We start from the raw sequence: 12606 nt of genomic DNA, 5'->3' as shown, positions 1-12606 counted from the left end.
AATTATATTATAACAAACAATTAGATGAAAAAGCAGATATAATTAAAAGGTATGATTTACAATTTAAAAAATTATTGAGGACCCCAAAGAGCTTGGGTTTATTTGGGTAATATTGAAATTTATGGCATTAGAAATTAAAACTAATAATTTAAAAATTTTACTAAATCTCTATAAAAACAACACTAATTAACTCATTGCAAGTTAACATAAATAACACGTTTTCTAGGAAAAATACCTGTATTTGCCAAAATAAAAAAAATTAGTGAGAAGAGCAATGTTATTTAACATTTTTGAAATCTCTCTAATGAATGGTTTAATAGAAAATCACTGCTGAAGTCTCTTATCTGCTCTGCATTCAATCTGTGGTGATATCACGCACATGAGCCCTCTAGAAAACTATAGTGAAAGAATAAGAGAAAAACACAGGCAAATGATGCCTTAGTATTTTTATGTGAAAAAATGTGATGTTATGTAAATGATCTCTGGAAACCCAGCCATTCGTGGGTCTCACTTTACACACCACTAGTCTACTGTGTAGACTTGTCCTATCACCAGTCTCAACCCAACTCTTCAGCCTGCTCCCAAAAGCATCCAACAAATCCGTGCCCACTTCAAATCAAAGGTCTCAAACACTAGGTGCTCTGTGAACAGAATCAACTGGCAGTAAATCCCTTAATACCAAAAGCTTAGTGTGCTGATTTTCATAGAAAGTGAGGGGCAGAAGAGGCTCTGTCTCACTCTCTAGCTGGGCTTGTGGGAAGAAAAACCACAGAGAGAATTACAAAAAAAACCCATACCCCTGCAAGAGGAGGAAACACAGACAACAGGCCTACACTTCCCAGGTGCCTGTGACTTACAAATGAAAGTCCAGTGGTGGTGGGGAATGCAGAGTATTATGTCCTTAGCTCTCCTCTGAGAGTTTGAAGAACTCTCAGTGTAAATACAGAGGTTAGTTGCATGGTTAAAACAGATAAAATATTATGTTTCCAGATTTCCATTTCATAGAGAAATAAACTCATGTACAATGTAAAATATGGTGACTCTCTGAGCCATAATGTGACTGGACAGGACTAACGTAAATTTTCTAGTCCAAGAGTGAGTGGAGTAGAGCCTCAACCTAGTGAAAATAGAAAGTAGATTAAAATCAGAATTGGAGAGTATTACAGCTAAGTATAATATAAAGTGGGATGCAAGGAGAATTGTGACCTGAAAAATGAAAGAGATATTTTGGATGGAGTAGTCAACTATGAGAGACAGACTCCAAGGAGGAGTCCACTGGCACTTCCTTCCTAGTTTAGACCCACTTCTTGGTGAGACTGCAGTCCTTCAATCCATGGGCCAATCCTAACTGGATAATAGTCCACATTATCACCCCAAACTAACTTAGATCTGACTCAGCACAGTCTTAAACCCAATTTTTTCTCTGTAGGCCTAATAATGAGATAATTTATAACTCAAATCTGAAATCTCAAAGGTGACAGCACTTGGACTTAAGTCAATGGAGAACAATAAATGAGCGAGTTTGAGAGTTTGGCTTGAAGCTTTTGCTCAGAGGTAGAGAATCTGTATCTGGTTATTTCTGCTGGGAAAAATATATCAAGGATTCACTTTGTAAGTAACGAGGATGGCCTCTGTAACTTCTCCACAAATGCCTGGGGAGAGACACACTGAAAAATGTAAAAAGGGTAAAGTCTGGAGTTGCCATGGTTGTTTCAGAAAAAAGAAAATGAATTTTAAGCCATAGACATATGTTTGGGCTCCAGGTTGTCACTTTCTAGGCTTGTGGTGCAAGAAATTTACTTAACTTCTTTGAGCTACAGTATCCTAATTTGTGAAGTGTGAAAAATGGTACCTATTTTACGGAGTTATTTTAAGGATTAAATTAGGAAAGGATATAAATGTGCTAGGACACAGCTAGTGTATGGTAGGCAATCAATAATCATTATTATGATTATAATTTAATATACACTTTATATAACTGAGTTTTATTTCTAAAGGGTGGATAAAATATGTATTTTTATAAATAACTCAGTTTAATAGGGGATAAATAATTTCTTCATTATGAAGTAAAAGCAATTTTTTTGGGAAAAGATAAAATAAGGTTATAGTAATATATTGTTCTGTTTAGTTAGTATTTAATATGTGTGTTTCTCTTCTTAGGCTAATATAACATATCCCCCCTTTCAGATAATTTAAATAGGAAATCTTGTAACCAGTGTTTTTGAAACAAGGGCTATTTGTACCCAAATTGTCAAGGAGCTTGTTAAAAATTCAGTTTCCTATACCTTCTGAATCGGAACTCTGTGTTGCCCGGTTGTCTAAATTAAAAAACAAAAATCTGACTAAACGCAAACGCTTAAGTCACTCCAATAGAGTCAACAGCTGCTCCTGATTAGCTCAGGACTTTCCTGGTTCCAGTACTGAAAGGCCCACCTCCCTGCTCCTTGGAAATCCCTCAGCCCCACTAAGAAAATGTGGGTGCCAATAGCAACAGTGGGTAAAATTTTCTCCACTATGTGAGCACATAACATGGCCTCACAGCGTGGTAAGGTACATTTACAACATAGTTACAGAGAGCCTCCTCCACATGTTTAATGCCAAAGGAGAAACTTTAAGTGAAGCATATTTCATTACAAATAGAAAAGGAAAATTTACCTGAAGAAAAATTGGATTCACTTAAAGGATCTGCTCAAACCATGATGGTTTGTCACCCAAGTAGCTAGTTACTACAAAACAACATAAAGAAATAAAGAGATTTAAGCCACAATTTCATTAGCATTATATTTTGTAAAAAATCAACACCAGTTTGCTTTGCCAATTAACAATTCATTCCTGTGGTTAGGCTGACCTCTGGTGGGAATGTGATTTCAACTACAATTATTTGAGAGCAGATTCTTCAAGTGAATCAGAATTTTCTTTAGGGTTTTAAATCTTCATTTTCTATAAGAAATGAAATATGCTTCACTTAAAGTTTCTCTTTGGCATTAAACATGTGGAGGAGGCTCTCTGCAACGCTGTAGATGTATCTTCTCATGCTGTGGGGCCTACCGGGTATTCATATCGTGGGAAAAATGTTATCCACTGCTGCTATAGGCACCCACATTTTCTTAGTTATTACTAGAGAATATCTTCTTTACATGAAATCCATAACAAGATAGGTAATTTAAAATTTAGTCTCTAAGCACTGGTCTTATTTGGTGTGCCCTTGCCCCTAACTTACCTTTCTCCCAGATTTCTATGTGTGTTTTTCTTTTCTTTTTCATTTTTTAAATTTTACTTTAAGTTCTGGGATACATGTGCAGAACGTGCGGGTTTGTTACCAAGGTATACATGTGCCGTGGTGGTTTGCTGCACCTATCAACCCATCATCTAGGTTTTAAGCCCCACATACATGCATGCATTAGATATTTGTCCTAATGCTCTCCCTTCCCTTACCCCCGCAACCCACGACAGGCCCCCGTGTGTGATGTTCCCCTCCCTGTGTCTATGTGTTCTCATTGTTCAACTCCCACTTATGAGTGAGAACGTGCAGTGTTGGTTTTCTGTTCTTGTGTTAGTTTGCTGAGAAGGATGGCTTCTAGCTTCACCCATGTTTCTGCAAAGGACATGATCTCATTCTTTTTTATGGCTGCATAGTATTCCATGGTGTACATGTACCACATTTTCTTTATCCAGTCTATCACTGATGAGCATTTAGGCTGGTCCAAGTCTTTGCTGCTGTAAATAGTGTTGCAATAAACATACATGTACATGTGTCTTTATAGTAGAATGATTTATAATCCTTTGGGTATATACTCAGAAATGGGTTTGCTGGGTCAAATGGTATTTCTGGTTCTAAATCTTTGAGGAATCGCCACACTGTCTTCCACAATGGTTTAACCAATTTACACTCCCACTCCCACCAACAGTGTGAAAGTGTTCCTATTTCTCTACAGCCTCGCTAGCATCTGTTGTTTCCTGACTTTTTAATAATTGCCATTCTAACTGGCGTGAGATGGTATCTCATTGTGGTTTTGATTTGCATTTCCCTAATGACCAGTGATGATGAACTTTTTTTTTATATGTTTGTTGGCTGCATAAATGTCTTCTTTTGAGAAGTGTCTGTTCATATCCTTCACCCACTTTTTAATGGTTTTTTTTTTCTTGTAAATTTGTTTAAGTTACTTGTAGATTCTGGATATTAGCCCTTTGTCAGATGGATAGATTGCAAAAATTTTCTCCCATTCTGTAGGTTGCCTGTTTACTCTGATGATAGTATTTTTGCTGTGTGGAAGCTCATGTGTTTTTCTTTTGCTTCCTTCAGGTCTCTGATGAAATGTTGTCTTATCAAGGAGATGTTCCTGACCACACTATATGGAATAGCAACTCTTTCCCTGCTACTTTCTATTATTCTTATCCTGTTTTAGTTCTCTTTTGCAGCAGTCAACAATACTTGATATATATCTGTTTATCTATCTTCCTATCATATCATATCTATCTATCTATCTATCTATCTATCTATCTATCTATCTATCTATCATCTAACTATCCATTCCTCCACCCATTCATCTAATCTGTTATTTATCTATCCATCTCATCTATTATCTATGTGTCTATCCACCCACCCATCTATCCATCCATCTAATCTGTTACCTAACTGTCCATCTATCCAATCTATATTATTCATCTGTCAATATATCTAATCTATTATCTATCCATTCATGTAATCTATTATCTTTGTATCTATCTATCCACCCACCCATCCATCTAATCTATTAGCTAACTATCCTTCTATCTAATCTAATCTGTATCTATCCATCCACCTAATCTATTTTCTTTTTCTTCCTTTCTTTTCTATTATCTATCTATCTATCCATCTATCTATCATCTATCTATTCATCCATCCATCCATCCATGCATCCATCCATCCATCCATCCATCCATCCATCCAATCTAGTATCTCTCTATCCATCCATCTAATCTGTTTTCTATCATCATCCATTTCTCTCCTATTTCTCTTTCATTTATCTATCTTCTATCTATCTACCTATCTCATCTGTCTATTTCTCACTATTCCTACTAGAATATAAAGGCAGGGACTTTGTTTATATTGTTTACTGTTATATCCACAGCATTTAGGACTGGATTTCTACTATGTACTTATTGATGCACAAGACATATTTATTAAATGAATGAATGTCCTTTTTAAATTAACATAATACCCATAATATCCAATCTCTGAAAGACAAAGAGCAGCCAAATACAATACTTGAGTCCTCGCAAAGAAAGTTTTAGTTAAAAGAAATCACACTACAGGCAGTCCTTTCACAAGTAAATGACCCAGTTACCTAATTTCATGAAGTAGAAATAGAGTAGTAATAACATGTGTCATTCACAGGCCTGGGCAAGCGAGCAGCAATGCTGGTTGTGATGATTGTATAAGGCCCCAGGCACGAGGGAGGAGGTGTTAAAGTATCTCTCCAGAGTAGCCTCAGGCTGCATATAAATTGGGTTGAACAGGGAATCAGGAGATCAGGGCTACAGAAGCTGCATTAATCTTCAGGTTGACTGGATGACAAAAACAGGAAAAAAGGATATAAGGTGAGCGGCAGGAAGATTAGAAACTACTCAGAATACCAAGTGCTGTGTTGGTTTGGACAAATTAGAGAAGCACTTCTGTAGTAGAAGTTGCTTAAGGACTTATTAGCAATGTTAATGTGACCAAGCTACCTCTTGCTTCATAATTACACTTCATAAATAGATGAGAACTTAATCCATTGTAAAGTCATACATCCCATGGTAAGCACTTAGTATGTGTTAACGGCGGTTTGTTTTTTTTATTGCCGTTTTTGTTTGTTTGTTTGTTTTTGTGAGACAGGTTCTTGCTCTGTTGCCCAGACCGCAGTGCAGTGGTGCAAGCAATGCTCACTGCAGCCTCGACCTCTTAAGCCCAAGCGATCCTCCCACCTCAGCCTCCCCAAGTAGCTGGGACCATAGATGTGCACCACCAAGCCCAGCTAACTTTTTATTTTTATTTTCATTTTGTAGTTACGGGGTTATCCTATGTTGCCCAGGCTGGTGTCAATATCCTGGGCTCAAGTAATCCCCCCGGCTTGGCCTCCCAAAGTGCTGGGGTTACAGGCATGAGTCACTGTGCCCAGCCTTGTTTTTGTTGTTGTTGTTGCATACAAGTGGTCCTGTTACATTAAAATATCACATATGATTGGTATAATTCATGATGTCAGAGCTTTAATTAAAAATGAATCCATTCTGTATGTGCCTCACTGCACTTTCTAAATAAAACCTCCACTCTAAACATTCAGAACACTAACTTAGTCATTCTCATTCTTCTCTGATGTTTCTATATCCCATTTTTGTCCACTACCTTACAATTGCCAGATAAACAAAGACCAGCATGGGATAAAAATGATTCCCCAACAACTTCAGGACACTATAAGATTCTTAGATTGGTTTCATTTATTAATTGAATATAGTATTAGTTATGTTATGAGAAATACAGACTTTATCATTTTACTACCTGTCACTGATTTCTTTAAAAAGAATAGGGAATCGATGTGTATTTTTTTATCTTTCAATTATTAAAAATCAAAACACCATCATAAAATTAGCTAGATGTTTTTCTTACCTCATAATCTACAGATATATTTTTTGCCATTTGAATGAAAGTTAATAGAATATTCTCTATACTACTCATCACCAATTATGTTGATTACTTAGTTTTAAAGTCACATAGAAAACTGCTTTTCAGTCCATCAATACTTTATCATTTCTTTATGCTGCGCTAATCACAGTAACATAAACTGTATCTACAGCTAAGACTGTAGCCAAGAATCAGAAAATAATACTATAAATGATTCTGTGTCATCTGAAGTTATAAGCACTAGAACTAGCACAATTTTATTTTGAATCAAAGGACTACAGACCAACTTCAGAGCATACTAATTCTTCATTGTCAGCAATTCTAACGATCATTTGAATTACCAAATTCTGGCTCATTTGAAGTACTCAGAAAAAGGGAAGGCTGAAAGAATCAATAAATTGAACATCATAGGTAAGAAAAATCCTAGGAACTAAACCTCCTCTGTTCCTGAAGAGAACAAGAAATAATATTCATGAATGGCCCTACATCTGGTATTAAGTCAAATAATGCCTTTGGAGATATTTTAAGAAGCAATTGCTAAAACTTATTTTGATGAACCAAGTATCAATTACCTTGAATATCAGTTTAAAAAGAAAAATCTCCTGTATCAATAAAGATATGTAAATGAAGCAATATTTCTTTTTTCATAATTAAAAAAAGTTTATATACATATTTGTACTTGATATGTTTCAGGCATACATTTTACCTCAATCAATTGGAAAGTTCATTAAGAGCAAGATGAATATTCATCTTTTTTATACTGTTAGGGCTCTGAATGCAGCTGTGTTCATGAAACAGAGTTTTTGCTGTTGTTTTTATTTTTCTTCTCTAAATCAAGGTGCCCCATAATTTCAGGGCAGTAAGATATTCTTCTCTCATTTATCCACTGACATTAAGTCAATATTACAGCTTTTTAGTAGCCTAAAAAATTACAAGCACATATATTTTGCTATTCAAAACATGGTTACCTCAGATAGGTTAATAATACTATCCTTCTGTATTGCAGCTATTTGCCACTTACCCATTTCAAAAACTACCAGGTGCTTAGACATGAGGACATGCAAACAGAATTTAGAGTAATACATATCACAGGCTTCCAACATTGCGCAAAAATAACTATTTTCTTGTTAATATCTTTGATTAAATGGAAATGACCTATAAAATTTTGGATTTTTGACTGAAAATATATTTGGCAAGATCATAACAACGGATAGTATTTGAAAATGACAAAAAATCATGCTTCATTCTTTTTTCAGCTTTTACTTTGACATAATTTCAGACTGATGGGAAGATGGTAAGAATATGAAACAAACCTTCTAGATTCCCTAAATGTTAACATTTGCTGCCTTTGTTTTGCTTTACTGCTCTTTCTCTCTTTTATGTAGGTATATATGTAATATTACACACATACATATGACACACACAGAGTACAATTTTCCCTTTACATACTCTTTTGTCTTTGAAATTAAGTAGCAGACTTGATGATCCTTTACTCCTAAATATTTTAGTGAATATTTTCTAAAATCAAAGACATTTTGTCAGAGAACTAAAGTATAATTATCAAGCCAGGTGCAGTGGTATATGCCTGCAGTCACAGCTACTCAGGAAGCTGAGGCAGGAAGATCCTTTGAGCCCAGGAGTTCCAATACAGGCTGGGCAACATTAGTGAGACCCCTATTTCCAAAAAATGAATAAATAAGTAAAATAAAGTAGAATGATCAAAATCAGGAAAAAGCATTGATATTATTATCTCATCTAAAGACATTCCCATTTTGCCAATTGTCCCAATAATGTCCTTTGTAGGAAAAGAAATTGTTGGATCATAAGTGGTTCTCAGTTGCACGTCTTTTTGGTTTGCTAGAGTATGCAACATTCCCCAGGGTTTTTTGTTGGTTTGTTTTCATAGTCTTTATACTTTTGAAGAATATACAGTAGGCAAGCTAGTTCAGAGAACGTCCTTAAACATGCTTTCTGAGGCACTTCAACATGACTAGATTCAACTCACGGATTTTTGGCAGGAACATTGCAGAAACATGTTGTGTTTCCCATGCTTCCCATCAGGAGGTGCATAATGTCGGATTGTCCAATTGCCAGTGATATTAACTTTGATCACTTCATTAATTTGGTGTCCTTCTTTGTCCCCATGTAAAGTTGTATTGTTTCTTTTGTAATTAATGAGTGCATTCTGAGAGATCATTTGAAACGAAAGTACATAAATATTCTATTACTCATCTGACTTTCATCCAGTTAGTTTTAGCATATGCTGATGATTCTTTTGGAATCCATTATTACTATGATGGTTGCCAAATTATAATGATCTAATTTCATAATAGTTCTGCTTTAATCAGAAATAAGATATATTCTATAATTGTTTTTATCTTTCCCTAGTTTAATTATTTTCTTAATGGATTTTTATGTTCTCATTTTTTTCTCCACTGCTAGTTTTATCTAAAAGTTCTCTAAAATTTGCATAGATCATTTGGTAAAAAGCTACTGATTTTATAGTTCATTTCCATCTTATAGTAAGCAATTATTTGCATTAGTCATATATTTAAAAATAATTTTAAATGTGCTGAATATTTTAAGAGTGTGACTCTTTTCTTTATATGGAATGGGATATTCCTAAGACAGATGAATGTTTTTCCATTTGCTGACTTGGGGTTAGATTTCTTTACTAAAGCTTAAATTCGCCATGTCTGAGTCAGTTTCTTGGCAGTACCCTGATATTAGCAGCAAAGATTAGGAGCTGTAGACATTTTTTTAAAAATCACAAATTATGTTTATTTTAATTTGTCTTTGTTCCTAACTATATGGCACCATATAGTTGGTATTACACAATACAGCGAAGAGTTTTCTATAACTTTTGCATTATGAATCTTAGCTTAAGGAAAATGTCACTTTAGTGACAACACTACTGTGAGAAAAATTAAAAAATTATATGATTGGGTAGTCTTGATACTGGCAGTTTTAAAATTTACCAGCCTGAGTAGATATGTAAATCAACATACTTATATTCTAGGGGGTTTTCTTAATTGCTAAATTGTAGTGGCCCAGTTAAAAGGAATGAAGAAGGTCTTCGTCTTTTAAAAATGATATATATTGATGATAATACAAAAAATTTTAAAAATTATCTGGGTCATGTGGCTCAGACCTGTAATCCCAGCACTTTGGGAAGCCAAGGCAGGAGGATTGCTTGAGTCCAGGAGTTTGAGACTAATCTGGGCAATATAGTGAGACCCTATCTCTCTCTCTCTAAAAAGAAATCACTGAGCATGATGGCATATGCCTGTAGTTCCGGCTACATAAGAGGTTGAGGTGGGAAGACTGCTTGAACCCTGGAGGTCAAGCCTGCAGTGAGCTGTGATCACACCACAGTACTCCAGCATGGGTGACAGAATGGGATCTTATCTCCATAATAATAATAATGATAATAATAATAATAAAAATAATAAAACAAAAATAAAACTTATTTTGTGATAAAATTGGAAATAAAATTGAGAAACTCTGGAAGGGCATTTATTGATGGTTTGCTGAGAATCAAGGATAGTACTGATTTTATTATTAACTCTATCTTTAAACAATGCCCATATGAGGGCTTGATTAATGCTTTCTTATCTGTCCTTTTAGACCTATAATTTGTTGTTGTAGTTCTGGATCTATACTTTGTTATTACCATAAATGTGCTCTTCATATTTGCTCACTGGGATAATTTATAATACCATATACATACATTCCATGGTGTTTGATAATTCAAATTTAACTGACTTTTTTTGTTTGTCTCTTCTTATTTTGCTTTTCAAAGCTTAAGGAAATAAGTTTATTGAAAGAATGTTAACATTGGTTTTTATCCAAGATGAGATTGAATGACACCACAATGAAGTAACAGAATTTGTAGCAAAGAGGGCAAATCATAATGTTGTGAGGAGAGAAATCATGTATACACACCTCTCCCTTGCTTTATAGCTTTATCTTTTATTAACCTTTATAATTACCCCATCCCATCTATTCTCACCTCCACATTTGCTCTATTCTCATTCTTTTTCCCAATCTCTAACCATTCTTGACCTGATCTTTTTGTAGTTTAACTAGAACTAGTTTTTCCCCTATTTATTAAAAATTGTGGTAAAATACACATAACATAAAATCGTGGTAAAATACACATAAACATAAAATTTACCATATTACCCATTTTTAGGTGTACAATTCAGTAGTTTTAAATACATTTATAACATTGTGTAACCATTACCATCATCCATCTCCAGAACTCTTTTAAACTTGTAAAAATGAAACTCTATACACATTAAACTATAAATCCTCATTGCATCCTCCCCGCAATATCTGGGAACCATCATTCTACTTGCTGTCCCTATGATTTTGACTACTCTAAGTATTTCCTACCAGTGGAATCATACAGTATTTGCCTTTTTGTGACTGGCCTATTTTACTTAGCATAATATCCTCAAGTTTTATGCATGTTGTAGCATGTGTCAGAGTTTCCTTCTGTTTTAAGGCAGAATAATATGCCATTGTACGTGTATACTACATTTTCCCTATCCATTCATCCATCGATGGACACCTATGTTGCTTCTGTGGTTAGCCATTGCTAATAATGTTGCTATGAACACGGTTATACAAATATCTCTTCCATATCCTGTTTTTAATTCTTTTGGGCATATACCCAGAAATGGAATTGCTGGATCATATAGTAATTTTATTTTTAATTATTTGAGAAGCTGCCAAACTGTTTTCCACAGCGGCTGTACCATTATTCATTCCCATTCACAATGCACAAGAGTCCCAATGACTCCATATTCTTGCTCACTTGTTTTTTTTTTTTTTTTTTTTTTTTTTTGAGACGGAGTCTCACTCTGTCGCCCAGGCTGGAGTGCAGCGGCGCGATCTCGGCTCACTGCAAGCTCCGCCTCCCGGGTTCACGCCATTCTCCTGCCTCAGCCTCCCCAGTAGCTGGGACTACAGGCGCCCGCCATCACGCCCGGCTAATTTTTTTGTATTTTTAGTAGAGACGGAGTTTCACCGTGTTAGCCAGGATGGTCTGGATCTCCTGACCTCGTGATCCGCCCGCCTCGGCCTCCCAAAGTGCTGGGATTACAGGCGTGAGCCACCGCGCCCGGCCACTTGTATTTTTTTTTTTTTAAATAGTAGCCATCCCAATAGGTACGAGTTGTTATTTTATTGTTGCTTTGATTTGCATTGTCCTAATGATTAGTGAAATTGAGCATCTCTCCATGTGCTCATGGTCCTAATGATTAGTGAAATTGAGCATCTCTCCATGTGCTCATGGGGCATTTGCATATCTTCTTTGGGGAAATGTCTATTTATGTCCTTTGTCCATTTTTGAAGCAGTTTGTTCGTCTGTTTTGTTCTTGAGTTTTAGGAGTTCTCTATATTCAGGATATTAATCCCTTATGTGATATATAATTTGCAAATATTTTCTCCTATTCTGTGGGTTGCTTTTTTATTCTGTTGATTAACTAGGACCAGTTTTATTTTCAGAGATGGATGTTTAAATTATGTAATTTTCACAGATTGAATGTAATTACAGAGTAGACTACTGAGACTTTATTGTAATCATCAAGAACTTTTCAAAATTGACCAAAAAAACTTAAGTATATTTAAGTGTAAGGATTCAAAATATTCTATTTTTAAAGTCACATTTTCCAAACTCTGAACAATCTTAGCCTTAGTATCTTACTGTCCCTGAAATGAACAAGGCCTTTCATATATAAAAGTTATTTAATAAGTTAAGTGCTATTCTTTAGTCAATGTAATTTTTAACATCATTACAGCCAACAGATAAGACATCTCTCATTCTTTGAAGTGATTCATTAGTAAAGCTTGAAGCTTTTTTCATATAATTTAAGGATTAATGAAGCAAAAGAGAAATAACGATGATAACAGGGGTTTAAACTTCACAACTGTTTTGCTGTAAGATAAACCACCATATA

The sequence above is a fragment of the Homo sapiens genome, chromosome 4 (genome assembly GCF_000001405.40).
Source record: "Homo sapiens chromosome 4, GRCh38.p14 Primary Assembly".
Lineage (NCBI taxonomy): Eukaryota > Metazoa > Chordata > Mammalia > Primates > Hominidae > Homo > Homo sapiens.
This window is presented reverse-complemented; position numbering follows the sequence as displayed.